General features: G+C 37.7%; 2 long non-coding RNA genes across 3 annotated transcripts, besides 1 other annotated feature; one reads left to right on the forward strand and one right to left on the reverse strand.

Moving 5' to 3' along the window:
* Nucleotides 484-778: an enhancer, noted in NCBI's record as "tiled region #14734; HepG2 Activating non-DNase unmatched - State 22:ReprW". NCBI's record gives its function as "activates a minimal TATA promoter and a strong SV40 promoter by Sharpr-MPRA in HepG2 cells {active_cell/tissue: HepG2}" and the evidence as "EXISTENCE:reporter gene assay evidence [ECO:0000049][PMID:27701403]".
* On the forward strand, nt 2,162-4,543 carry LOC105372527 (uncharacterized). Of its 2 annotated transcripts, none has more exons than XR_001754710.1 (3): nt 2,162-2,218; nt 3,198-3,349; nt 4,016-4,543. It is a non-coding gene; the product is annotated as an uncharacterized LOC105372527 (long non-coding RNA). The 2 variants fall into 2 exon arrangements; XR_937259.2 differs by lacking the exon at nt 2,162-2,218 and adding an exon at nt 2,808-2,886.
* Nucleotides 4,544-18,574: 14,031 nt separating this feature from the next.
* On the reverse strand, nt 18,575-23,776 carry LOC105372528 (uncharacterized). Its single transcript, XR_937260.2, has 3 exons — nt 23,733-23,776; nt 21,899-22,022; nt 18,575-18,664 (listed from the first exon to the last, which is right to left on the reverse strand). It is a non-coding gene; the product is annotated as an uncharacterized LOC105372528 (long non-coding RNA).
* Between the last annotated feature and the right edge of the window lie 3,458 nt (nt 23,777-27,234).

The raw sequence follows: 27,234 nt of genomic DNA on the forward strand, positions 1-27,234 counted from the left end.
TTATAAGTGGATAGTAATCAGCCGGAGACCAGAGACATGTCTGACACTTGCTCTATATCATCCACACTATCTAGCGTAGTGCATAGCACCTAGAGGATGTCCAATTAGACTTTCTGACTGGCAGAGTGAGAGAACCAATGTCAACTACTTTCACTGTCTGATACTGGTGAAGTGGGAAGGGAGAAAGTTTGTGTAGTAAAGATGTATAGAGCAAATGGAAGCCAGGAAAAAAGTGAATATTTTCACTTTTACCTCTCCCTTCAATGTTTTTTCTTGTAGCATATATTAATAATTATGATAATCACTCTTTGTATTGGGATATAGTTTATTATGTAATTTATACCACTGTTATTATTTACCACTATTTTTGTATTTCTTTGTGTATATTTATAGCACATTTATAAATAATACATGACATGTCCATTAGATACTTATGTGTAAAAGTTATACATATTCAACATTTAACTTCAAAGTCAGCATCCTGTAATATGAGAAATTTTACTAAATGTAATGCTCTAGTCCAGTGACAATAAAACTTATAACATGGAATTGATTCTCCCTCAAAGGCAACTTCCTTTGCCTTCCTAGCGGAAGTGAAAACTTTGACCTAATGAAATGGTAAAACAAACCCCCACTCACATTCAGTTGCCAACAAGAAGGTCCACAGCCTGAACACAGGAACTGAGCACAGGAAATTCAATATTTGTCTTGCATTATAAGACTATTGGAGCCATAAAAATATTTTTTTTAATTTTTGATTATTTGAGATTCAAACAATGTTTACCTACAAGATACCAGTCCATAGGACACTATATACTGGCAGAATGCCAGCCTGTACACATACAGCCTCTACTGTGTGTACAGATGGTGGCCATTGGGCTTTGGCTTTTATAAACTGAATTAACAAACATTTAATGGAAACCAGGTTTAACAGATAGCTTGCCCAGATTGAGGAGGAAGTTTTTTTGTTGATGATTTTTTTTTAAATTCCTTCCCACTGACAGCTGTTACAAAAGCAGACAAATATTAACTCTTCATCTTGTCTATTGACTCATAGCAACACAAATCTCTTGCATCTACTTAACTTTTTATTTTAAATTTAAATTTATTTATTAATTGTTTTTACAATTTTGGATTCTCCCAGCTATCCATTTGCTTCTTACTTCAAGCAATGAGCTCTGATATGGTGGTCACGGGCATTGTGGCTGAGGTTCTTAGGAGGTGGGTGTATAGAATTGAATCCACGAGTATTGTTTTCTTGCCAGTGAACACTTTGAAAGACGCTGAGAATAAATTGTTAGGGCCACAAAATCTATATCCTCTTATCACATCTACTCTGTGGGCTAGACTTTTCCACAGTGGCTTGGGGAATCAAGGGGTCCTGCTCTGTTTTCACTTTCAAGTCCATCAAAGGCACAGAGCAGCCCCAGAATTTTAATGACTACATGAACACTGATAAGGTTCAATTTCTATTCACTCACTCCCTATGGTGAAATTAATGGTCATATATACATATGAAATATGAAATCCTACTGTGCTTTATTAATATAACTTTATGGAAAAGTTTTTTTTGGAAAACATTAACTTATATGCCAAATTCAACAATACTTTTCATTATAAAATTAGTGTCTTTATTCTGAATACTTACAGCAATTCTCCTTGAAAAAATCTTCAAGAATATCACTCCTTGTTACTGATGGTTTGTGTATATCTTAAATCTCATGGTAGATTTAGGGTTGTCAGATAAAATAGAGGATAACCAGTTACAATTAAATTTCAGATAAATAAGGATTTTTTTAGTGTAAGTGTACCCCTAGAAATACGCATGACAAAAATAGCCTTTGTGTATGAAATTCAGATTTAACTGGGCACCTTGTATTTTTATTTGCTTAATCTGGTAACTCAGTAGATTGTAAATGTCTCCAGCCATCAGAGTTTAGGCTTTTCTTTGTCTGATACTTGCCCGGCTTGCATGATGCCCTCTAATGATATAAAATCTTACTAGGAATAAAGATTTTTAAGTTTGGTTCAAAGCTCTTTACATTTACTTAATAGATAAGTATTCTTAGGCACTATTTTAGAGAGTATGAGTCATATTTGATAATATTGAAATTGATTATGGGACACTTTTATAACTCATTTCATTGTTCTTCAGTCAAAAAAGGCAGTGGATGTCAGAAAACGAGGAGCAAATCAGAAATCTGGAGACCTGAGAGAAGTGAGTGAGTTTTATCTCTGACTCAAACTATTCCTGGGTCCTTCTATTACCTGTGTCTGTGAATACATCAATGACCATCGTGGATTCATTGCACTAAGGACCCCAATTATTTTCCCCTTCCTGCATTCACAACTCTGACACATAAGGTGGTGGAGCCGATTTCCCTACCCCTTGATTCTGACTGTGGCCATGTGACTAGTTTTGGCCAATGAGATATTAGCATATGGGACACATGCAGAGGCTTGAAAACCAACTTCGCTTCTATGTTTCTGCTTTCAACTATGTGCTTCTGCCTTTGCTAGGAGAACATGCCAGGGCTGGCCTGTTGGAGGGCTGGGAGAGTGAGGTGGGGAGCAGCATTTAGGTTGTCTCTCACCCAAGACAGAAAATAATCAGATTGACAGATTTCACTTTTCTCCAAGACTCATTACTCATCTGTTGTGTGTAGATTTCGGCAGGGGTTCAAGAAAGCATATTGATGCATGTATGTTGCGGTCTTAATGCAAATCTGATCTAGCCTTAGAACTCTGAGCATACCAAGAACCTAAGGGTAAATTTATTTTTCATACGCATTACCCCTTTGAAACTTGAAGAAAGACAAGGAGGAACATAGAATGAAAAGCAGATTAAAATGAAGGGTACGTGCTGAAGGCTGGTTGGTCCACACGGTAAGAGTTTTATGGGCATCTTAAGTGGGACATGTGAGGGTGTTTAGGTGTTCATTAGTGTGGTCATGAGATTGGCTGAAGTTGGAAATGAATGCTGAATGGAACTTATTTCACCCAGCTGCATGTCCAAGTTTCTATGACTGTCTGACTTGTTATTTACAGCCATCAACAAACAGAGTAGGAAGATATGAACGTTTTTGTTTGCCATGCTTGACAGAATGTTGAATTAATATCTGAGCTCTACATGTTATCAACAGAACTTTTCGTTCTGATTTACTATTAAAATATTTGATTTGTTTCCATTTCTCCAGATCAGACCCAGCTGGATGTCTTATACCTCCTCTTCTTTGTCAGTAGACTCCTGAATTATTAAGTTCAATAAGAAAGGAAAGGGATGGAAAGGATTCGGAGTGTCTTATTTCAGGTGTAAACCTTTATGATGTCTTCGTATATTCCTGTACCGGTAAGTAAACTGAAGTTTTACAGAAAGTTACAACCTGGGCTTAAATAAAACATGCAAAGTACTATAAACCCAAATTCTCATCAGACTTTGACAAGAGTTCAGAGTGTATATTCAGAAACCTGTGCAAATAATAACAATAACAACAATAAAATTCACATTACTAAGCAGCTCTAATCTAAATGTCAATATAACTCTAAATAATACAAGCAGATGAAAGCAGTGTGCATTTTCTTCAAAGTTTCTAACTTTGGAAGGAATTCCTAGATATAATAGGTATGTGGGAAAAAAATCATGTTGACAGCACAACAATTCATTCACTTCCTAACATGACTAGTCATGTACTGTACTTTAGTGCAAACAATAAGGTTATTGTTCAGATGGGAAAACAAGCAATTTGTTGGAAGGCGAAAAGGTGAAAATGTTCTATAACCTGATTTTGTTTTGGCAGGCTGCATGTCATTTTTTAGTCTTAAAAGATGTATTTAATAGACACACGTTTAAAGATTTGGCCATTTGTGAAAGAAAGGATTCCTTCTAGTTTTCTTACTGCTTTTGTGCAGAATTGTTTTCTCCTTTTTATTTTTATATGTTTAGATCCAGAGGCCTGACATTCTGATCAAGGATAGCAGGGTCCCAGATAACACTGTCTGTTCTGTTTCTCTCTAGCGTGCAAGCATTGGAGGTTTGTGGCTGGAAATCCTTCAAAGGTGACAATGTACAGAAGAGTTGATATGAATCAAGACTGGATGAATGAAGCCATTGGTAGGTACGGTTTATGCTCCAATCAGAGGATTTTGCCAGAGCAGCCTCATGGTTTGGGCCACCTCCTTTCCTTATTTTGCATCACTTTCTTGGCTGACTATGGTCCAATAGGAAGTGGAGTAGGGAGGAGAGAAGAAAGAGCCAGGTACTTTGAGAGAAAGGATAGAAGTTTGGAATGCCTTGTACTGTGTGTATTCCCACATTTCTGAGCTCTACAGAATTAAGGTGTTCTGTTTAAGTTAATGGTGTTTGGATATTTGCAAGGTGGCTTTGGGGTACTAATGATCTCCAAATAAATACCACTCATATAATGTTTAGAGTCTATTTTAACCATTTTCTTTTCTTAATTAAAAGGAAGACACCTGAATTTAGTCTGAGGTTTTTCTGGAAGTTTCTAAACATAGGGACCTGTTTCTTTTTTTCTTTTTTTGTGGGGGAAGGGGTTGCCTTTTAGTTTTAAAAAATACCCTATTTGTATTTTCTTCCTTTTTTTTTGTTTTTGTTTTTGTTTTTGTTTTCAGTGGCATGATCATAGCTCACTGCAAACTGGAACTGTTGCGCTCAAGCAACCTTCCCACCTCAGCCTCCTGAGTTGCTGGGACTTCAGGCACGTGCGGCCATGCCCAGATAATTTTCTCATTTTTTGTAGAGATAAGGTCTCACTCTGGTGCCCAGGCTGGTCTCTAATTCCTGGCTTCAAGCAGTCATCCCGCTTCAGCCTCCCTAAGCACTAGGATTACAAGTGTGAGCCACTGTGCCTGGTCCTGTATTTTCTCTCCAAGCACAGAATGGCAGGCACCTAGCCCTTCCAGGCCACCTTTCCCGCCAAAAAAAATATTTAGGTACACACACACACACACACACACACACACACATGCACACACTATTAATAAGCTCTTCCCAACCTGCTCCTCTCAATTTCCATCCTTCCATCCTGGTGTGAAATATTGAAATACCTAAGAAAGATTTAAGGCAAGTTCTTAACTAGTAGGGGCTGGATTTCCAGCTCCTTATATTCTGTCTACAGAAACTGCTGTGGGCGCCGTGGTCAGACGAGATGCTTCTTCCTACGTTTGTTTATAAGTTCCTCCCAAGCATTTGGATCACTCTGGTTTCCATTTGAGTGTCTGCGGCTGAGAGCAACCATGTGAGCAAAAATAGTCCAGGGGCAAAACAAACTCAGACAGGCCGTAGTGTGCAAGGAACTGCAGCCTGAAATATCTGCATTGTCATCAGTCAGTGCTAAAAGGAGGTCAGTGATGTTTCTGGATTTGAGGCATAAGCAGGATATGGAATCTTGGAAGGTTTTATTCTATTGATATCCATGTGATTTGGGGGTTTTTGCTAATAGTTCTTGCTGCTAACTTTGACTGCCAGAGTAAATAACAGTGGCCAAGGAAAAAAGACTTCTGGAGCTCATTTAAAGAAAAATGAAAAGAGTTTTTTCCTGCCAACCTGGGCTTCATCTTTCAACCCACAATTAAGAGAGATTAAGACTGAGACAGATATACTTCAATCTGGTGGACAGTTTGTAAAAGAGGAGTAGTCATTTTCAATTTAATTTTTATGTATTGGTCTTGATGACTGACCTGATGATTATCATATTATTGGGTGTTTACTATGTGCCCCTCTTTAATTATGTCATTTAGTTCCCTCCAACAATACTTACAAATAAATGCTATTACTGACCCCAATTTGCAGATAGGAGAACTGATGGATAAGCTATAAGTGGTTTGCCGTTCATATATGGTTGGCATGTAGGGAAAATGAAGATGGATCTGAACTTCAGGAAAGCTGCATCCGAGCAACGTGCCTAGTAGTTACCCAACATTTTTATTAATCTATCCTTAGTTTCTTACAATACTTTACTTTTTCCCTTTTTCATGAGGCTACTCTGAAAATACCTGGGATCTAGATTAGAGAGTACAGAAAAATCAGTCATTGACATGGCTGTTAAAGTTTGAGGGATTTCAATGGTTTCTGCCAACACTATCATCAATAAATGCAGATAATCAGGAACTGATTCTATCCTAATTTATATAGCCATCTTACTATTTCTAAGACATATTTCCCTTTAATGTTTTTCCATTCAGAAAAGTAATTTCTGAGATTTAGAGACACACCGTCTTCTGAGGAACTCCACAATCTTTATACCAGATTTTTTTGGTATATAAAACTTGGTACCTGTTTGACCTTAGAAATGGCCTGTAGGCTAAATAATAGGATGAAGATGTCAGGGAGGAAGGGGATGCCGCCTAGCATAGTGATGATGATGACTGGCTATGACACCACTAACCAAGTCCAAATATTGATTTTAACACTAATTTTTGCCTTTGGCAAGTTAAGTAGCCCTTCCATGCCTCAGTTTCCTTACCTGTAAAATGAGTGTAATAACCGAGCGTGCTTCATGGAGTTATGAGGTTTATAATGGGCATTTTAAGCATTTTAAATCATGTTTTTTACCAGTACTCAATACAAATTAGATATTTTTACTCATTCTTAAAGGTGTGACACTTCGGTGACACTAAAGTCACCAGGGGTAGATTGTGTGTACTTTCTGAAAAAAATATTCTAGAGTTTTGCTTATCAGTGATATAAGGTTTTCTGTGTTCCATGCATTTAATTTCGTATGTAGTTGGCATTGCCTTACTGCAATTAGGCAGGTTGGAAAAATAGGTGTCATTCATTTTCAGCATCTCCTTCTTCCTCCCTCTGTGCATACAATTTGTCACTCAAACTTATAGACCATCCCTCTATTGTGACTCTGAAATTCCCTCCTTTCTGTTCACCAAGTTGAAACTACTTGGCATCTAGTGCAAACCAGTGTCCTCATACCCCCACCTCCTGCCCCCACATGGATACACCCCTCACTCAAAGCCTCCTGGCAGCTGTTCCATACCAGATTCCTTTGCCATCTCAGCTGCCTTCTGCAGTTTCTTCAGATGCCCTAACTCCAGCCATAACTTTGTCTCTTCTATTCACTTTCGTGGCCCTTTCATTTCTTAGCAAATTCTTATTTCCCACCTGTACTTGAGGTCCTTCAGCCTTTGCATTATCCCCCACTTCCAGAGTTTGCCCCCATTATTAATATTAGTAATAATTTCACATTTCCTTTGCTCTTCACTCAGAGCTTTGGGACAGGCCTAGCTCTCTGAAATCCAGCGTTACTCAGAGTTATGGTCCCTAACCTTGCCAAGATGGGAATATGCAACATTTTCTGTTAGACCAGTGTCTTTCATACTCTACTCTTCCAGGGATTTGACTGAAACAGGAGATTCTAGGTTCGTAGGTCTGGGATGGAGCCTGAAATTCTGTGTTTTTAACAAACTCCCAGGTGATGCAGCAGCTGCTGCTGTGAGTATCTCCTAGAGAACCTCTTAATGTTTCTCTCTCTGCCTTTCACCCTCACTTCTCCATTGGCTCTGCTGCCAGAGCTGTTCCCTTAAATAATTCTGCTTAGTTATTGTTAATGGCTCCCCATGGCTTATAGAAACAATCCAAACACATGTGCAGAGCATTCAAGGCACGCTAATTGAAATTCTACTGAATATTCAAGGACCAGATAAATATTAATAACAACTCCTCCGAAACTGAGCTCTACTCCTTGTCAGCCTTCATCATCCCTCTGCACACAGGTTCCTACTTTGCACCTCTGCATTGCCCTTTCATTCCTTTGCATGGATTCATAGATGCTAGGTGTTTGTTCATCCCTCCACTCTGAAGAGCTCATTGAGCATCCCCCACAGTCCCAGAATAAGCGAAGAGCTGGGGGTATAGCCAACATTCACTAAGTGCCTGTTCACATGAATTGTGTTAGACTTTGAGTAACCAGGGCAAGGCCACAGGGGTTGATCCAGCAATGGAGTCCAGGGAAATGATCATGATGAAAGGTTTTGTTATAAACCAATTAAAAAAAAACTGGGGAAGAGGTCAGTTGTAAATAATAGAGCTATGCATACCAGATGCAGAACTGAGAGGAAAAAGCACTAAGCCTCAACATTGAAAATTTTAAGCACTGATTGAAAATTACTACCAGCTTCCTTCTTTGGCAGATGGTATTGCTTGAAAAGTGTTGTTTCTATGACAACATGGATCTGAGAGAAATATATCATTAATATCTGGGTGTTAGATTTGAGGGTTGGTGGGACATTGTTGATTCTGTCTTCATGGTTTTATGAGAATATTTACCCAAGATTTTGAATCCCTTTCTTTTTCTGTCTTTGATAAATTCTTAGAACTCTGTGGGCAATAATTCATTACTTTAAGGATGGGTGAAGATCCATTTTTTTCCCATTATAATCTGCTTTAATTACTTATTTAATTATGCTTATAAAATGTAAAGTTACAATTTTTTAAAGCATTACTTATTTGTATACTAGGAAAAAGTGAACAGCTCTTACAAATGGGTTTAGTTAATATTACAATAATCCTGAATTACTGAGTCATTGGTTCAGACTCATTCTCTATGATTAATTTATAATCCCAGCAGTTAATATCTACTTTAGGAAATTAGGATTCAAGCAAGCTTTCCATTCTTAACATTCTATGGATACATTCACTGGAAGCTGCAAAGACTCCTTTAACTCAGGACTTGCATGGGGGCTGTTGTGTAGGCAAACAGTGGCTCCCAAGATCCTGTTTTATTATCTGGTTCAGCCACTAAATAGTGTGTGATCTTAGACTGTCCCCCTTAATTCCCTGAACTTCACTTTTCTCACTTACAATAGATCTGGAAGAAATTTATTCAATCGGAAGTATGTATGAGACGCTGGTAGACCAGGGGATATGCTTCTGTGTTTAGAGTCCTGTCCTCCAGGAACTCATAAGATACACATATAAGTCGAGTAGATGAGAGGTAGAATGCAATGGGAACTTGTGAGCTAAGAAGACAGGATTTTCCTGGATTCATGAGCTCTGTGTTTATATCATATTGAATTTTTTAAATTTCTGAGGGTTTTGTTTATTTGTTTGTTTGTTGTGGAAACAGGGTGTCGCTCTGTCACCCAGGCTAGAGTGCAGTGGCGCAATCTTGGCTCACTGCAACATCTGCCTCTTGGGTTCAAGTGATTCTCCTGCCTCAGCCTCCTGAGTAGCTGGGATTACAGGTGTGCGCCACCATGCCAGCTAATTTTTTGTATGTTTAGTAGAGATGAAGTTTTATCATGTTGGCCAGGCTGGTTTCAAACTCCTGACCTCAAGTGATTCGCCTGCCTCAGCCTCCCAAAAGGCTGGGATTACAGGCATGAGCCACCACGCCCAGCTGAACTTCTTAAATTTTATAAACTCAGAAGCATCTTTCTCATCCTGTGTTTTGGTGACTTCTGCCTATGCATAAATGTGACTTTTCTCTTTCTCTCTATAACTCTCTCCTTTGCTTTTCTACCTTTTCCTGCTTTTCTTTTAAGATTTACCTCAAGAGGACTCACATGACTAGGTCTGGACATCCATACCCTTGTCTTTGAATTATATCTCAGCACCATATTATGGTATTTATTTATTTATTGTCATCTCACTAGATATAAACTCGTAGGACAGGGTCTTTTAAAAACCTGTGATAGTAATAACTACTGCATAGTGGATACAATACATATGAATTAATCAGTTAATGAATTAACTAATAAGGGTCAATAATTAGTTAATTATTATTATTATTTTGAGACGGAGTTTCACTCTTGTTGCCCAGGCTAGAGTGTAGTGGCATGATCTTGGCTCATTGCAACCTCTGCCTCCCGGGTTCAAGCAATTCTTCTGCCTCAGCCTCCTAAGTAGCTGTAGCTGGGGTTACAGACATGCACCACCGTGCCCGGCTAATTTTTGGTATTTTTAATAGAGATAGGGTTTCATCATGTTGGCCAGGCTGATCTCGAACTCCTGACCTCAGGTGATCCACCCACCTTGGTCTCCCAAAGTACTGAGATTACAGGCGTAAGCCACAGCACCTGGCCCCAATAATTAGTTAATTACCAATGCTTGATAATGTCAGTACTTTATGTCTCTCAAAATATATCTCTTTACATCTCTTAGATCCTTGTTCACAGAGTTCAAATGATTTTATAGTGATGTGCATCATATAAGGTAGAATGTGACGGTAGAATTGTTCTATTTTGTAAAAAAATTCAAATAAGATGAGTTTTGGTTTGACACTTTATTCTTATTTCATTTATGCAGCCTTCCCTTTGCCTCTCAGCCATCTCTGACTTTGGACTCAGAGCCTTGACTGAGTCTCTGACTCCTATTTGACCCTTCTCATATCCAGCTTTGATTTTCTTTCTTTTTAATGTATGCGTAATCTTTATCAATGCTTCTGTGACCTCCCCGGCCCCCAAAACGTGTATAGTTTAATTGCTCTTTAAGAAATTTACAGCACCCTTGAATATAAAATGAATTGTTTGTTGGTTGCATGTATGTAGCCATTGAAGTGGGCAATATACCAACCTGTGGTATGTGATCAATGACACTTTGAGAAAGAATAGACACTCAGGTTTGGTGTAGTTAAGACAACCATTTGTGAGTTACTGCTTTATTTACTAAATCTCCACATACCTGAAGGATCATGGAGAGGAAGAAAGGAGCCATGTCACAGAGGTGTAATGGACCAGGCATTCCAACCAGGGCTACATCAGAATCACCTGGGCTTTTAAAGGTTCAGATGTCCAGACTCTTTCTCCAGAGAATCTGACTTGGGAGGTCTGGATGGAGCCATAGCATCATGGTGCGTAAAACTCCTACAGACTGCACTGAAAAAGAGGGTTGGGAAGCTCTGTGGTAAACTGATGACAATTAGGAGAGATTTGTCCCAAGGACTTCGTGACTCCCTCAAGGGATGGACAAAAGTTATTGCTTTTGAAAAAGTGACCCTGAGGGCCTCCATTGTCTTTGTTTCTGAGAACATATTTTGATTTTAAAGCTGTTTGTGTGAGCTAACCAGTTTTCATGAGCACAAAAACAATGTATTAATTAAAGTCAACCATTAAGTTGAAGCAGAAATGCCAGTCTATGGACTTGTTGATTGTTGACAGATTGTAGCAGAGGAAGTAGAGCCAGTTCACAGACTATACATTGTACCAACAGGACTAAATGAGTTGATCTTTGAAAATTCTGTAGCAGACCATTTAAATGTATTCATGGACTTTCTTAGAAAATAAGGAGGCTGTGTGGTCTCCGGAAAAAGAAATCAGGACCTTGGACCTCCTCCCAGGGCTGCTACTAACCACACATGTGACCTTGGGCCAATTATTTAACCTCTTGAGGTCAGTTTTCTTATTTGCAAAATGCATGGACTATATTAATTATTCTCCAAGTCCACCCTCAATATACAATTCTATAATTTAATATAATCTAAAGAATTTTCTTATATTTCTAAAACACCTAACAAGGTAAAGTTCTCCCTGGAAACAAAAGCCAAAAACCGAAATACAACTGGTGTTATATTTTGTCCTGAATTTCATGTATCAAGATAATTTATGTTGGTTCACCAGTGCTTCTCAATGTGGACTTCCTGCTAATACTCCGTACTTGGTTTCCTGCTAATACTCCATACTTGGTTTAATCTCTCGGCGTTTCAGTAGTGACATTCATGGAAGAAAGATAAATCTGAATGACCCCAAATAACAGATCATTCAGTTCAGTTAAGTAAGCTTATTCTCTTAAATCTTTTTCTGAAGAATAACATGCAGAGAGGTGCAAAAATTTTACCTATACAGTTTGATGATTTTTTCCAAAGTGAATGTGTCCATGTAACCAGCAGTCAAATCAATAAACAGAACATTAAAGGTGCCTCCAGGTGCCAGCTGGCATGCTCCCTTCTAGTGACCATCTCCCATGCTCTTAAGGGTAAACTCCCATTATCCTGACTTGCAATATTACAAGCTAGATTTCGCTTATTTTTATGCATATTTGTTTCTGTCTTCTATTGATATTATGTTTTGAAATTCATTCATATGGCAATGTGTAACAGAGATTGTTCATTCTTAGTTGTGTATAGTACTTCATTGTATGTGTATGTCACAATTTAATGTTGATTAGCATTTGGGTAGTTTCCAGTTTGAGGCTCTTACAAATCATGCTGCTATGAACACTCATATGTCTTTTGATAACATATATCTGCATTTCTGCTGGGTGTATTCCTAAGAGAGGAATTGCTTGGTCATGAGGTACAATACACTGTTCTTTGATTGCTTCATAAGAAACCGGTGTATTGCTCTGTGCTGAGGTCTTAGATATGTTCTAGCACTCAGGAGTCCAAACCATTGCTTTTGGGTTAGAAATGCATGAAAGAAACATGCACGTCTATCTGAACTACAAATAAACTTTCTGCTTAAGTCTACTTAGGCTAATGTTGAAACATTTGTTCATTCAACACAAACCACATGGTGGCAGAAGAAGAGAGACCCTCATTACACCACATAGTAGCAATAGGAGCTGCAATGTCACAATGAGTTTTAAAAAGAATGCCTCTTTAAAAGAAAAAAAAAAACAAGAAAGAAAGAAAGACATCATGTTCTGCTAATAGTCCCATTTAAAGTCATCTGGGGAGTATTAGGCACGGCGGGACTGCACTTTATTTTGCTTTGTTTTTAGTTTAACTGAGGTTGCAGACAATACACTCAAGACCTGGAACAAGGGCCCCCCACACATCAATCCCTCCAACTGATCCTGAGATTTGGTATATAAAAAGCATTATGATTCTTTCGTCCCAAGCCTCCCTGAAGGATCCAATTTTAGGCCTCTCAGAAGGTTACCTGCTCACTCTTTCCACTGTGCATGGGGGAGCAGTTTGGCCTGAAGGACAGTTCCAATGTCTTTGTGCTACTATTATTGGAGATTTGTTTCTGCCTGAGGTCACGTCCACCTCATCAGTTAGTGGCCTGCTGGCCCTTCAATGAAAGGGGCCACTTTAGGTGATGCATTTGGGCTTAGATTTGCAGCAGATCCTGAGAAAGTCTGTGGGTGACTGAATGGGTGTCTTCAGGAAGTTGGAAAGACCTCACTTGTCTTCATCAGAGACTCAAGGAAGGTCTGGGAAGGACTAAATGAGTTATAATGCCTTTCCCTGTCAGCTTATGAAGAAGGTCCACTCCTGTTGTACATGTGGGGTCTTGGATGAGCTTCTCTGGAAGCAGAGCCTGAGACAGATTTGGGTGCACATGACTGCACATGACTTAATGAGGATGAGCTTTTGTAAGACGGCAATGAGTGAAGCAGGGTAAGGCAGTGGAAGATACCACACATGTGTCATTTTGCCTGCTTCTATAGCAGAAGGTGGAGGTCTAGAATATAAATTGCATGACCTAGAGGTTTAGGGGCCAGCATTCTGTACCCTTTGTCATTCATGTCAATTAGTCACCAGTTGTAATGTAGGCTGCCAGTGAACAGGGCATGTGCAATCTCTTAGGTAAGGACACTCCCTTTTGGCCAAGGATATTTCTTCAGAGAAGTGGGCAGCTGAGAGCCATTAGTAACCAATAGAAGCAGGGGGATGGATACATGAGTCAGGAAAGGGAATCCAAGTGGGGATGGTAACAGCATCTGCTATATACAAATTGTGATTCTTAGAGATCTTACTCCAGGGCATAGGAGTAGGGGAATCATTTTTTCTAAATGTTTGGTTGGTCTTACTTTATGATGGCATCTTCTGCTTGCTGATAGGTATCTGGCCAATTTTTATCAAACTTGTTCTGGAACAAAACCTGTCCCTTCTCACCCAACTCCCAATTTCACAAACACTCTGTGCTCTTTTCCTGATTCCTAACATCACTCACCTCTTATATCCAGCTGAAAATCCACTATACTTCTCACAATCTGGCAAAATATCTCACTTCCTCTCTAAAATCCAAAGTATGTCTGTCATCTTCAGCCAAATTTATCTCCTATGGCAGTCAGCTCCTGACACACAGTCTAACATTTAATTGCTGGTGTTGTTCACTTTTGAGATATGTTGTATTATCATCATACATAGGCTATAAGACTGCTTTAGGTAGGGATTCTCTAGACCATGAGACCATGAGATGAAGATTTAAGTGTAAGGATGTGATTCCAGGAAGCACTGGTAGAAAAATGTTCACGTGAGACTGGGGAGGGGAGACAAGCAATTCAAAGTACATTGCCAAGTTTACCACTGTCAATGATTGGCACATAATTCCACCAAGGACTTATGGGATAATCTTCAGTGCACATCTTAAAATTGTACCACCCAAGGGGAAGGAAGTGGGACATTTATCTTCCAACTCTTGTTCATTATTAGTGAAGGCTTCACCTGGGCAGCTAACTTTTTGGTACTACTAGAGTGTATAGGGCAACCTCCTCCTACCAGAGAACATACTTAAGCTGATAGAGGTAGGTTCTCACAATAAGAAGTCTGTGAATGTTGAGAAGATATGGGTGGGATACCTGCCCTGAGCTTCTGGAAGACAAGAATGACATATGCATCAAATTCCTCCATTCTAGTTTACAAAGATCATGCATTAACATTCTTGTTTCACTGATATGTTGGTTGCTGATGACTGAGAAGTGGTGTAAATGTCAGTGTTAAATACAGACTTATATTAGCAGTCTTGTAAGATTTAAGGAGCCTAAGGAAGTAACTCAACAGATGAAAACTAAACTTTTCCAGGATTAAATGTCACTATATTTTTGCCACACCAATTAATGGAAGTTGTTTATCAGGAGTTTCATGAATTTGATGAGGCTGTATCACAGGTTGGATACTCAAGCAATAGTATTTGGGGAGATATTAGATATCTATGCAGTTTGGAACATCTACCACAAAGACAAATTCTTAAATTCAACCTCTAGTTGTCACGGCACTCAATCACATTTCTCATACTCTTTCACTATGACACTTTTTTTTCCAATTTTTCTCTAATGTTTGTGAAGTTCCTATAAACTAGTTTGGTTCTAAAAGCAGAAGTAATGTTGGGTGTCTTTCCTTTCTGTATCAATACTAACTGCACCTATTTTATAATGAAAAATCTCACAGTTTAAGTTCTGCCTGCAAACTTTCCTCTTTGAATATTGTGTTTTTTATTCTTTCATGCATTCAACAAATGCTTTTCCAGTGCCTGCTCTGTGCCAGGTGCAATTGTAGATGCTTGAGATACATCATTGAACAAACATCTATTTGCTTTCAGTGGGCTTATATGGTAGATAGGGGAATAGTGTCATTCAATAAACAAAATAAATGAGTAACTAATATAGTATATGAGAATATGTTGTATTATGGGGTAACATTAGGATGGGATAGGGGTATAAGAAACATAGGTGGGTGAGTACAAATTTTTTATAAGATGGCCATTCTAGGCAATGTTGACAAAGTAGTCTAAACTAAGAAGTGAAAGAAGGGAGGTTTGCCAATCTTTTTATCTACATTGGCTGGAAGCTACATTATTTCCTTTTCTGTGAAATATCTCATATGTTTTCTTTTATGTCTTCTAGTTCCTGAAATTAACCACCAAACCTCCCTTCTCCTGAATTCTCTAAGCCCATTGTTACCCATTTCCTTTCACATGTAATAATTTTGACTCTCATGACTTTTGCCTGGCTTTTTCTAACACAAATATCACTTCACAGAAGCAAAGCCAATTCCCAAACACTCTATATTTCCCCTACTTTTAGAGTCAATCTTATTACTTCTTTTGACATGCTTAATGTGTTCCTTTGGATGTCAACCTTGTTTTCTTTCCTTTGCTTGGCTTAGACTATCTCCTTTTAGGAATAGAATTTCTCCTTGCTCATTTTCTTTCCCCCGTCCTTCTTCCCATGCCCATCCCATACCAAAAAAACCACCCACATAGATAAAAACATAAGTCTACACAGTTCTTATGCTTAATTTAGCTGATTCCATGTGTTTTGATGCACACGGGACCAAGTGCCACTTATGACTTCTTTCCAAACTAAATGACTGCTTCTTCAAGGAACATTTCTAAAACATGATCACAGTTTGTTCTCAAGCTTTTTTGGGGGATGGGGTGGGTACATTTCTAAGGAATCTAAGCAATGCAAAGATTGCATTTTTCTAGAATGTCCCAAATGAAATGCCTTTTCCTGCCTAATCATGCTCTGTCAGATGCTACAGACATTTGGTTTCTTCTTGTGGGATCTCTACCCAGTATATTGCTTTATTCAACTTTATATTTATCGATTTGTCCTCTCTGGTCTTCAACAGATATATTGCATATTTATAGATAATGAGGAATTCATTATTTCAGAACCCAAATATGAGAAATTTATCTGAATTCATATCGAGTTATTTTTCTTGTAAAAACAACAGAGTAAAACTATTTTTGCTTTCTCCTGCTTTCCAAACATATTTAGGACCAGGAACAAGTTTTGTTACATTTGTAACTCATTGGAGCTTTACTTTATGACTTAAGTAAAATATAAGTGAATTTATTTTTGTAAGATCCAGAATAAATTTATGTTACATAATTTTTGTAAAAGCTGCATATACATTAGGTTTGGATAATCCAAATCCTATTTTAAATGTACAAAATAGCCCAATGTACAGGAAATTTATCTTGTCTACAAATAATTCTTTTAAAAATTAATGTTCAACTACTCTATGGTCAAATACTTCAAGTTGCTTCCTTCTCCTTCTTCTTTTTTCTTTCTTTTCTTCTTTTTTAAGATAGGGACTTGCTCTGTGCCCAGGCTGGAGTTCATTGGCATAATCATGGCTTACTATAACCTCAACACCTAGGCTCAAGCAATCCTCCTACCTCAGCCTCCTGAGTAGCTAGGACTACATTAATGCACTGTCCAGTTATTTTATTAGTTTGTTTGTTTGTTTGTTTGTTTGCTTTTGTAGCGACAGAATCTCACTATGTTTTTTAGGCTTTCTTCTTTTTATTTGATTTCAAATTAGGTAGCCTAAAACAGTGATGAGACCACCAATACATTTTTTTTTTCATTTTGACATATTTATAAGTAATAAAATACAATTCATCAGAATGTATAACTCTGAATTATTTTTATATTCTTTATCCTTCAATTGTCCTGAGGATTTTATGACCTGTCTGGTGAATTTCAAGACTTGCCACTGTGGAGTGGCAAGGAGTAGAGTTTGGCCACAGAAGTGATCCAAACCACATGAAGAATGTGCATTAACCCAAACACCTCTAACTAGACATGTTCACGTGTCCAGACATTGAGTCCAGACTTGGACTCTGTAAAATATTGGATGCAACGGCTTAACTGGTTTAAGCTAAATCTCCTCTTGAGATTTCCACTGCAGTTGGAAAGATTCACAAAGAAACAATAAAGCTTTTTGGTTGTTGTCTGGCCTTAAAATCAGAGAACACTGAGGTTTTTTTTTCTTTTTGTTTCTCCGGTTTTTGTTTGTTTGTTTTTTTGTTTGTTTTGTTTTGTCTTTTTGTTCTTAGAGAGAAGGACTCATTGATATATTTCCCAAACTCTTTTCCTGCTGCCCAACCTACCCTAAACAACAAAATCCAGGGGAAACTAAAAAGGCCTGAATCCCATTTTAAACTACCTGAAGTTGAATTTTTTTGTTACCAAAAAAAAAAAAAAGAAGAAAACAAACAAAAAAAAAACATTGGCGATCTGTATTTTTGTCTCTGGATTTGGGAAGCCTGGACTGAAAAAGTGGTCATTTATTAATTGGTATTAGAGTTACATTTTTATCTACTAAGGGATGTGGACTAGAGAACAAACTGGGGCAATGATTAAGATGTATTTGCTTAATTGAAATCAGAGAACCTCCTAGAATTTTGAATATGAATCCATATCAGAGCCTTAAAGGTGTATAATGCTAGTATTATAGACATATATTTTTCTTTGACTATATTGAAGAAATCATAAGTTCAAACCCAAAGAAATGCACAATTCTAAAACTATAGCAATAATTATTATTAATAGTCCACCAAGAGCATCCTGATATTTATGGCTGCCTGTGCTCCCTGGCTCCTGAGCACTTCTGTTTTAGCAGACACAACTTAAGAAATTAATCAGTAGGTTAGGATTTTTCTATGTGCTTCTCTCACTGGGTAACTGGCCATAAAAACATGGACATTCTTAAATTCCCTTGGGGCTTGTCTTTCTCCATTTGTGAAATGGGACAAATACAACTTCATTTTGTCTTTAAAGTAATGATTAAACAAAATGAAAACGAAGTGGCTATTGTACAAAGAATCTCTCTCAGTATAAAGTGTCTTTATTAGCAGGCCTGTTTTGAGGGTTAAAAAAAAAAAAGCATTATGATGCTGAGAAATCCAAGGTCCTTGGTCCAAATCCCAGGCCCATTGCATCTTTTATTATTTGTTCCAATCATCTGTGTAAGTCCTTTCTTATCTCAGAACTTCCATCCTCTCCATTGTTCACTGAAGTGAGTAAAATCTACTTTTATCTCATATTTGTGAAAATCAAGTAAAAAATATGAATAGAAGCATGTTGTAAAAGGCAATGAGCCCACTTACCTAAATGATTGTTGCTGTTACTTTAGTTGTTTTTGTTGATATCATTATTATTATTATTGCTGAAAAATAAAATGGTGAAGTCATCCTGGATCTGGAAGTTTGGGAGATACTTTGCATCCATCTGAGGAGGATATAGCAACAGTGTTCAGGTAAAAAATAATTACAACTGCATAAAAATATCTCTTTAAATATTAATTTTGAAATTTATGTTCTTACTTGTTCATCTTTTATAAAATCTCTCTTGAATGATTGTACTTATTAAACAAATAAATAAGTGAATGAATGATTCTACATGCTGCTTAAATGTTTTTAATTACTCTATTATTTTGATCAGTGTTTTGCCTACATTCACTTAACCTGTATACATTTTACCCATATAAAAATGTGGCTTGATGGTATTCCCAGCTGACTGGATAAAATGAAAAAGACAAACAATATCAAGTATTGATGAGCCTTCCAATGTCTTACATGCTGTTTGTGGAATGTAAATTGATACAGATCCTTTGGAAATTGGGGAATGTTTGCTACAGGTGAACATATGAATTCACCAAAAACTAGTAATTCTACTACAAGGATTAAATATCCCCTCAGAAATGCATATATTTGTACACCATACAAGAATGTTCATAGAAGATTTATTCCAATAGCCAGAAACCTGAGGCTACTCTGACACTTTTCAACAGTTTCTTGGATAAAGAAATTGTGGTATATTCATACAATGGTAAACTATGTAGTGATGACACTGAACGTACTACAACTATCCAATGACATGGGTGAATTTCACAAACATAATGTTGAACAGAAGTACCCAATCATAAGAATATATAACATGTGTTTCCATTTGCATGAAGTTCAAAAGCAGGCAAAATGACCTCATGGTGTGAGAATTCAGGGTTGCGGTTACCTTTGGAAACATGGGCTGTGATAGTGACCAGAAGCCATCATAAGCATAGCTTTTGGGACATTAGCACCTCTGTCTTGATTGACGTCTTGGCAATTTATGAATGTGATCTCCATGTGTGAGAATTTTCCAAGCTTTATGCTTAATTTGCATGACTTGTTTTGGATCCCGATCTCAAGACTCTAAGAATGTCTATGACTAGTTAACCAGTTTGGTAAAATGTTTTTGAACTTAAGGAAAATTTATTTCCTTTGTTTTCAGAATTAGATTGGCATTTTGGTGACTTATTGCTGAAAGAATGACTCTATATTCTTAGCCTATTTGTCTTCAGGACAAACTGGAGTTAGAAGCCCCTTAACAAATGGTGATTATGACATCTAAACTTTGGCGGCAGAACCACGTAGGTCCTTAGTTAGGCGATGTATCTGATATAACTCAGTTAACTGAGGGAAGGCCAGTTCTGTGGCCATGCAGGGCTCACGTTCCTTGTGACAGGCAAGTGATCTGTATGAAGCAGCCAGGATGGACGTTATTTCTCATGCAGTTATGTGGGGACTAAAAGCTGATGTGGCCCTGTGCCAAGTCCTTTAAAAACCTACATAATGGAAATCCATTGGCAAAGTCTTTACTACTCTAAAATGGACTCTCACCTCCAAATGAAAGTGGCTGGAAGCATCACACTGCCTCTGTCCAAAGCAGTGTAAGATGCACCAGCTTGACTCTGAGCTGGAAGCAGAAGTCAGGCATGACTCTATATTTGCACTGACATCAGTTCTACCACTAAAGTATCTGACCAGTGGCTGGTGTTTGTTATCTCTGTGGGGCCTAACATCTCCACCATAAGGCAAGATTCATCTCAACTTCTGGGCAGTGCCCTACCAAACTCGACCTGGAAATTGATTGCCTCTGTGCAGTTGATACCTGCACTTCCGGGCTCAGTGACAGGGTCGACTCGCATCATGGCCCACAAAGCTCCTTGTGCAAAGAGCTCTCCAGTAATCTGGTTGATCTTGATCTTGTTTCTACCAGTTGGTAGTTTTGCTCAAGTGCTTTCAGAAGCTTGAATGGCCTGATAAGTTGGTCTTTGTGTAGAAAAAAAAAACGCAAAAAACTAGGAGACAACTTGTTCTCACAAATCATGTTTCAAGGAGCTATTTTTATTCCAAGATATGAGAAGCAGTCATTCTGACATGTTTTATTGTCTGGTGGCTAAAGTCAGATTCTTACATTAAAAGTAAGAACTAAAAAACTTTAATGTTATTTGAGTATGTAGAGACCACCCTTGTCAACATTGGCATGTTATAGAAGAAGGAACTAAGACCAAGACACTTGCTCTGTCACTATCTCCATTACTATGAACCCTCAAATGGTGCCTGTCCTTCTTGTTTTATTTTCCTATCCCTCTTTTCTCATTCTTACTCCCCTCTGCATTTCCCTTGTCACTCTTCACTTTATAGCCAAAGAGACACAGAAAGAGTGTAATGTAAATGTGGAGGGTATACATACAATTTTCTTCTATTGTGTCTTTTAATCAGCATCTCTTTCAACTCATACTATTCTCAGTTTATCATCTCATTTTTTTTTAATTTGGACACTTTCAGTATGGTCTTATCATTAAGAGACATAAAGGTTTCAATAGCCAGTGGTGATTTTTAGGATTTCACAGCTCATATTTTTGGCTTTTGAGTCTCAAAAATAAAACAATATGGAAAGTGCCCAAATCAGCAGTATAAGCCCTGGCTGCAAAATTATACCCATATTCAAATTACAGTGTTGGTAGCCAGATTCTTTTTCCCTTAGAAAAGACATTTTTAACAATAGTTTTCAATGACAGCAAACAGTCACTTATGTGTAACAGAAAACATAACCTAAAAACAAAGCCTTGAGAAATTGACACTTACTTTAGAATATCTTTTTATATTAATGGTCCTAGTGCCAAGCTGGTAGATTTAAGCTAAATTCTTTAGAAAGCATTCCCAGCACAAATGTAGCCAGGGAACTCTTCTACAATTTGTAAATTTTGCTGGAGGATAAACAGTGGAAGTGGGAATAAATTGAATTTAAAGTCTCAACTAAACAGTCGTACCTTGTATGTGTGTCTGTGTGTGTCAAACTTAAATGCAGCTTGCTCAGATCCACAGAGCACACAAGAGCAAGTCTTCTGAATTTCAGAACTGACCAGAGGCAGAATGAACTTTAAATCTGGCATGTTACATTTTTCAGTGTCTCCATCTGAAGAATATGCAAACCTCCAGTTAAAAAAAATTTATGTATTATTCCATTCATATAGATTTAGGGTATCAAGTTTTTAAGTACTGTAATTGTTTGACCACCATGGAAAAAATGATAGTTTTAATTCTTTCCAAAGCTGTAGTTTGTGCATCTGTGGACACTCCTTCAATATTTTAGGAGAAGGTACTAGGCATATTTAAATAATACTATATTATTACTCACTTTGTCAACAAAATTTGGTGGTTGTTCCAAAGTGCCATATGAAGCCACATGAGATTTCTCTCTATGGGCTAAAAACCTGGCATCCCATCAAGATGATGCTGTTTACACATTCGATCATCATTTACTTTGTGAAGGCAGAAGGAAAATTTTCAATTAATTTTTAAAAATTTATGTTTAACATAAATTCATAATTTCTTACATATATGTTTTCTTAACCGAACAATTTCCCTTTTCTTTTCTTTCCTTTTTTTCTCTTTTATTTTCTTTATCTTCTCTTCTCTTTTTCTTTTCTTTCTTTTTTTTTTTTTTTTTTTGAGACAGAGTCTCGCTCTATCACCCAGGCTAGAGTGCGGTGGCACAATCTTGGTTCACTGCAACCTCCACCTCCCTGGATCAAACAATTCCCCTGCCTCAGCCTCCTCAGTTGCTGGGATTACAGGCACATGCCTCCACACCCGGCTAATTTTTTTGTATTTTTAGTAGAGTTGGGGTTTCACCATGTTGGTCGGACTGGTCTCGAGCTCCTGACCGCAGGCAATCCGCCCGTCTTGGCCTCCCAAAGTGTTGGGATTACAGGCGTGAGCCACCACGCCAGGCCTGAACAATTTCTTAGTAAGAGGCATATCAAACCATTTACATTTAGAAAATAAATGCCAAATGCCAGGTGAACAGCTTTTTGCCATGTGTCATTCAGTTTTAGAATTTCTGCTCACTTTGATTGTACCATGAAACCTACACTTAGATGGAGCAGAAAACTTCAATAGGGCTAAGGCATGTGAGCAAGAAGTGCTTTTAAAACTTCCACTGAGGGCATTCTCTACTTTGGGGATTAAGGAAAGTTTTACATTTTACCGATTATGGATGGACTCTCAAGTTGAAATCTAAGTGAAGTGGTTCCATTAATCCAATTTATCACTGTGATAATTTAATATACTCTATGGATTGGTGATCAGGGCAGCCGACTAGTTTTCTCTCCTTTAACCTGGCTTAGTTTCCTCATAGAAGAGACATTTTAAATGTAATAAGCCTTGGCTCTTGCCTAGCGAGTTTTTTCTTCCATTATTCTTTATACTGGAAGAGTAGCTGGTTTCAAAGACTTAAGTTTCCCAAATCCCCTACTTGATGTTTTCAGGGCTTCTCCCACATCCTTGGTCTTTACCATTTTGGTATATGTTTGCCCGAATCCCAACTGCCAGAGAGCTTACTTCTTTGCCTGAGGACTTGCCCTGGATCCCGAAGCCTGTTTGCCCATGCAGGAGGAAGGCTGGAAGTCCCAGGAAATTAATGATCCTTTGGAGCAGGATTTAGTCAATGACTGAAGAAGTCAGTGTATAAAAACCCCAGCTCTCTCTCCCTTGGGGAAGCTAATCCAGATGCACGTGTTCCACAGGCTTCCAGAGTTCCCCAGTAAGACTGAGCTCCAGTTGTCCACAGTGATGACTTGCTTGACAAAGCACCCCTGTTCATTATCTTCCCTTGCTAGTGTGACTTCCCACCTCTCCTACTAGTATTTCCTAAAATCACCTCTGAAACAATTTCTTCTTGAATCTTTGTCTCAAGGTCTACATCTGAGTCTACATCTGGGGAAGTTCTGAATAATTTGTAATAGAAACATCTTTGGCTTTACTATTCCCCCGAAAAAAACTAAATAAGCCACTTCTCATCCCCAATTATGCAGGGGCTATGTCTCCACTTTAAGGCATATTTTCTAGGTATTTTTTGTGGCATATTTTTGTCTTGAAAAATCTGCCAAAATATATATAAAATGACAGCTCACTTTAATCATGCTTAATGAACACTTGCTCTGAAGCTCTGGCTAGCAGCCAGCTGATACCTGGATGCTCCAAACTTCAGAAGTTGTACAGCTCAGCGGCTCTGGTAAATTCAATTCAATCTTGAAATTAAAATGTTGCAGAGACAGTTTCTGATATTGTTTTCCAGAAAATTGGCCTTAATAGAGTAAAAATAACATTCATATTTAATCTTCTTTCCTTTTCCTCTAAGTAATTTAAGGAAAAGTTAACTTAGTTTACCAAGGCCCAAGGCAATGCTCAGCTATATTAAAATAAAATATAATAAAGCCTTCTTAAAATACATTTTTCTGAATTCTATCTCAAATCTATAAAATCAGGACCTTTGAAATTGAGGAATTAATGTTTTACAATTCCCCAAAAATAATTTTTATACACTCTCAGGTTATATTGCCTTGGTGCTTAATAGTTGTTTTTTTTTTTTCACTTTTCCTTTCTTCTAATCTCATAGTTAAGTTGAATCAGATTGCCCTATTCTTTTGGCAATCTAAAGGAAACATATTTGCATGTACACCCTGTAGAACAGTATTTACTTAAGTCTAGGTTTAATAGAAAATAATAAGTCTAATAAGAAGCCCAAGTTCCTATAATAAAAATGAAACAATAAATGCATAGAAATATGAGGAAGAAATTACACCCATTAAATGCACCTAGCCTGATGAGTGATAGGATGGCTGCTTATTCAAGTTGGAAATTTTACACATGATCGAAGCTTTATTTAGTCTAATGGAATGTGCTTCCTGAATCTGGCTTCTAACTAAGCCAGGGCACAATAGCAAGTATTATGTGATTGGACTGAGCTCATTCCCTTCTCTGAGTCATTGTGACTCAGTCTTGACTGCCTCTTTCTCTCAGGTAGCCTATCACCTTACTTTTCCCCTCTGGTTTAGAAATTCATTCAGAATGTTACAGAAACCAACTTGACTATCCTTATACATCATGGGTTACCGCTCCCGTCTTTCTCTAAGAACTTCTGGAATCACTTGGAATATTTAGCCTTATTTTACAGTTTAGAAAACATAAGCTCAGTGATTTATGGAGATAAAATTCACAGAAAGTGTCCCACTAGTGGCCAAGATAAGCCTGTCTCACTGCTAGAGGATCACATGGGTGGATGAATGCCATGCTAATTACACCAGCAAAGTAGAGATGACTCCAAAATATTTTTTAGGATAATTTAATATTTGTAATTCTCAAAAAACAATATTAAATATATAATCTTTAGAGGTTTCTGAACACTCATATATGTCCTTACATTTATTAGTCTTTATTTTGACATATTTAGAGAGGTAGGGATGTATCAAAATCAAATTGTAACTTGTGGCTTCCGAATGTTCTTAATCCAAACATTTCCTGTCTTCATGTATTGCTTAGCCACTGAGCATAAACCCATAAGATATAGTACAAGGAAAGCATTGTCAGGATGCTCATATATCCTGGAAATAATTTTGGTTTTCCCACTGGTCACCCTGGGTTGTCCATGCAATCATCCAAGTCAATGCTAAAGTTTCAAATTGTTTTGAGGATCTGAATTAAGGAAACTTAATATTAGAAGAAATATACTCCATTCCCAGACAGGCTCTCAAGGCTAACACATTTCTAATGCAGATGTAAAGGTTATTTATTGGTCAAGAGTATTATAAAGTGGCCTATCTACTATAGCTTTTAGACTTTCCAGGAAAGTGTCAAATCACCCTGCCTTTGTTCAAATACTCTGTTTAGGTCTTGCCTTTCTAAGACTTCTCTTTATATACTGCATCTCTGAGTGTGTCCCTACACAACAAGGAGATGTTAGGCTCTTACCATCAATGGAAGAAGAATCCCATGTTTCTCTCAAGTCATCTTCCTCCAAAATTCAATATGAGTTCATTCTGGGCCACTGATCTGACTATGAATTCTGGGAAGTGTGCAGTTATCAGATAGTGATCTAGAATTCATACAACCTACAAAAGACATTGTTTATAATAACTTAAACCACATCACAAGTTTCCCCTCCCCTGGAGACTGTAGTGAAAGCAGAGCATCATTAGGCAAGACACCTGATAGAAACATTAGATGTTGGTTCTGGTTCCCCAACAATAAAAAATTCACAAGGACTTTAGCCTTGCTGACCACATTGCTAGAGTTGTTGACATTGTAGGGCTTTGTGGATAGTCCAGGCTGACTTCCATCTATTTCCCACCTACAGTCCTTGACATCTTCCATGCCACTGTCACATTGCTGAGTTCAGGGTGAGAACTCCCTCTTCTTCCCTCTAGCATTAACTTGTAATCATATTGATCAGGTCTCTGACAAAGAAGTCTTGGTGACTTAGTTTGGTATAATTCTTTTAGCATAACCACCACATTTAACTCATTTTTCCTTTTTTTTTTTATAGTCTCCAGTTCTGTTTGGAAATACAGGTTGGCTTCTCTTGGAGATAGTTCTAAAGATGATATGAGTAAAAATACACAGTTGGACACATTGAACAATTCCCTTGCAGCTTAAAATGTCTGGACTAAGCTGAGTTTCTTCTGAATCTAGAATGTAAGCACTGGGGTAGCAGATTGGGAAGAATATAAATTCATTGAAATGTAAGTTACCACATGAAAAATTCCACTCTCCAAACAACCAATTTGCTGAGAGCAAATCTGGCTGCCACTTGCATATGAACATTGATTGTTCAAGAACTATCTAGGGCTCTTAAAATGGGAAAGCTATTTTTTTCTTACCCTGTACTATCTGAAAATCACTACTTGATATGGTTTGGCCATGCCCCCCACCCAAATTTCATCTTGAATTGTAGCTCCCATAATTCCCACATGTTGTGGGAGGAGCCCAGTGGGAGATAATTGAATCATCAGGGTGGTTTCACTCATACTGTTCTCGTGATAGTGAATAAGTCTCACAAGATCTGATGGCTTTATAAGAAGGAGTTTCCCTGCACAAGCTCTCTCTTTGCCTGCTGCCATCCATGTAAGACATGACTTGCTCCTCCTTGCCTTCTGCCACGTTGTGAGGTCTCCCCAGCAACGTGGAACTGTAAGTCCATTAAACTTCTTTCTTTTGTAAATTGCCCAGCCTTGGGTATGTGTTTATCAGCAGCATGAAAAAGGACTAATACACTACTAAATCAAAGCAATTTAATTGTACTTTATTTTTTACAAAGTATAAGTAATTTCACCACTGTCTTTTTACTTCTTGTTTTCCACTGTGATGAAACCTGTATATAATTTAAACAAGCAAATAATTAAGTAAATAAGTCAACAAATAAATCTCAAAAAACAGAATTTTCAGTGGTCCAAAGAAGCAATATAAATTATATAATACAATAAATACACACAAACACAGCATCTTTAATACAATTCACTGACTTTCTCTATAACTTTAATAGATAATAGTACAGTTCAGTTGAATGTAGATTAATTTAGTACTTTGGATTTGTGAACTGTTCTCAATCATTTACCATTTTATAGATAAATGAGAAGTTGTATTAGTCAGCATCGCTGAGATATCAAATGATCCTCATATTTTAGTGGCTTAAAT

Source organism: Homo sapiens, chromosome 20, assembly GCF_000001405.40.
Source record: "Homo sapiens chromosome 20, GRCh38.p14 Primary Assembly".
Taxonomy (NCBI): domain Eukaryota; kingdom Metazoa; phylum Chordata; class Mammalia; order Primates; family Hominidae; genus Homo; species Homo sapiens.